The sequence below is a fragment of the Homo sapiens genome, chromosome 13, assembly GCF_000001405.40.
Source record: "Homo sapiens chromosome 13, GRCh38.p14 Primary Assembly".
NCBI lineage: Eukaryota > Metazoa > Chordata > Mammalia > Primates > Hominidae > Homo > Homo sapiens.
The window spans coordinates 26,967,268-26,968,823 of NC_000013.11; the positions used below are offsets into that span (position 1 = coordinate 26,967,268).

The window sequence follows — 1,556 nt, forward strand, 5'->3', positions numbered from 1 at the left end:
TGGGGGCTAATGTCTGGGGTCCTGCAGCTGGCCTTTTCTGCACTTGACCCCAGCCACCCTTTCTCCTGTCTCCTTAAGGAAGCCAGCAGAGCCCCAGCCAAATCCAAGTCCACAAAGCCAACTCGGAAGCAACGCACCAGCATCCTGTCCTGTCTCCAGGCTCTCTGGGCGGGTTCTCCCTGAGCACTTCCAGATGGCTTCTGTTTGCTCCTCTCTTCACTAGATCTGCACATGTGGCCATGAGAAGGCAGCCGGGCTGGCGCTGGGTGAGGCTCAAGGGCAGTGGGATAGGGGGAAGGAGGAGGGGAGGACATGTGCAGGAGACTCCCGGGTCCCAGCTCTGTTCCTGTCTCCTGCCTGGGACCCTGAGCTCCGCAGCTGGGGTTTGTATCAAGGAGAGCTTGCTCTCCACTGCAGAGTGAGAGGCTCACAGAAGAGCCACGACGTGGACTCCAGAGCATGGTGGGGCCTCTGTGTCTCCCTCACTGCGCACAGGAAGGGAAGGAAATGGAGGAGAATCACCTTTCTCCTTTTCTACTCCACAAACGCTGACACCAATCCTGACCTGGTTTTCCCAGCAACACAGATGTGATGAGGGATTGCTTCGAGCTTGGGGTCATCCCCGTATTTTGAAAAGAGCCCTGTGCCACCTGCAGTGATAAAAAGGACCACGGAGATGTAGCCCCAGCCAAGGGGGCCAAACTTCAGGGAGAATGCGGAATCAACTCAGATCCAAATAAATGTAGCCACCGCAGGGCTGCCCCCAGCTCTGAGCCCGTGGGCATGTGTGCTGAGGGTGCAGGAGAGAGGAGAGAGGGGATCCCTGCAGCGGGGCCCGAAGCACGCAACACTCCTTTGTCACCCAGCTTTGCGGAAGGGAAGGCCAGTCTAGATCAGGAGAATGGTCACAAGGGCAGGGTCTAGGAGGTGGTCAGTTAGTGAGGAGGAGGGAAAGCAACAGTGGCGTGGGACAGGCAGGGTCCCTGTGGGAACGGGCGTGATGTGAGACACAGCACAGAGGGCTGGAACAGCAAGGGGACAAAGCACATTCAGGACGCAGGGACTTTGTGGGGGCCAGGGCTTTCCCGTGAAACCTGGGAAGTTGAGGGGGTGTCATCAAGGATCACCAGGACCCTTCTCCAACTTTAATTACTGAGGACTTTCCCATGGTTAGCAAGAAAGCTAGGTGATGCTGCTGGGGACAGCCATCTTGCTTCTCCAACAGATGCAGCGAACAGCTCGGGCTTATCTCCGCTCCCGAGCAGACACATAGTGGGAGAAAGGGGGAGAACACATGGCAAAGGGAGAACTTCAGAGCAGGATGCATCCCTAAGCCCCAGCTGCCAGGACTGGGACCAGGAGTCCCCAAGGACTGCAGCCGTGACTCATCCAGGCCTCGGTACCCTCCCATCTCTGAGGTTTTCTGCTGTGGCTCTGGGGCTCTTGTGCCCAGTGTCGCTTTGGGGCTTTCTCCTGGTGGAGACTTGGGACACTCAGTGTCGGAGCCTCCCAGCAGCATGAGGAACGGGGTGCAAACAACGCAGACGACCCAGCTC

General features: G+C 57.9%; 1 annotated feature.

Moving 5' to 3' along the window:
• Positions 379–1,238: an enhancer, noted in NCBI's record as "H3K4me1 hESC enhancer chr13:27541783-27542642 (GRCh37/hg19 assembly coordinates)". NCBI's record gives its function as "activates a minimal SCP1, AML or CMV promoter by ChIP-STARR-seq in primed H9 embryonic stem cells {active_cell/tissue: H9 hESC(primed)}" and the evidence as "EXISTENCE:reporter gene assay evidence [ECO:0000049][PMID:30033119]".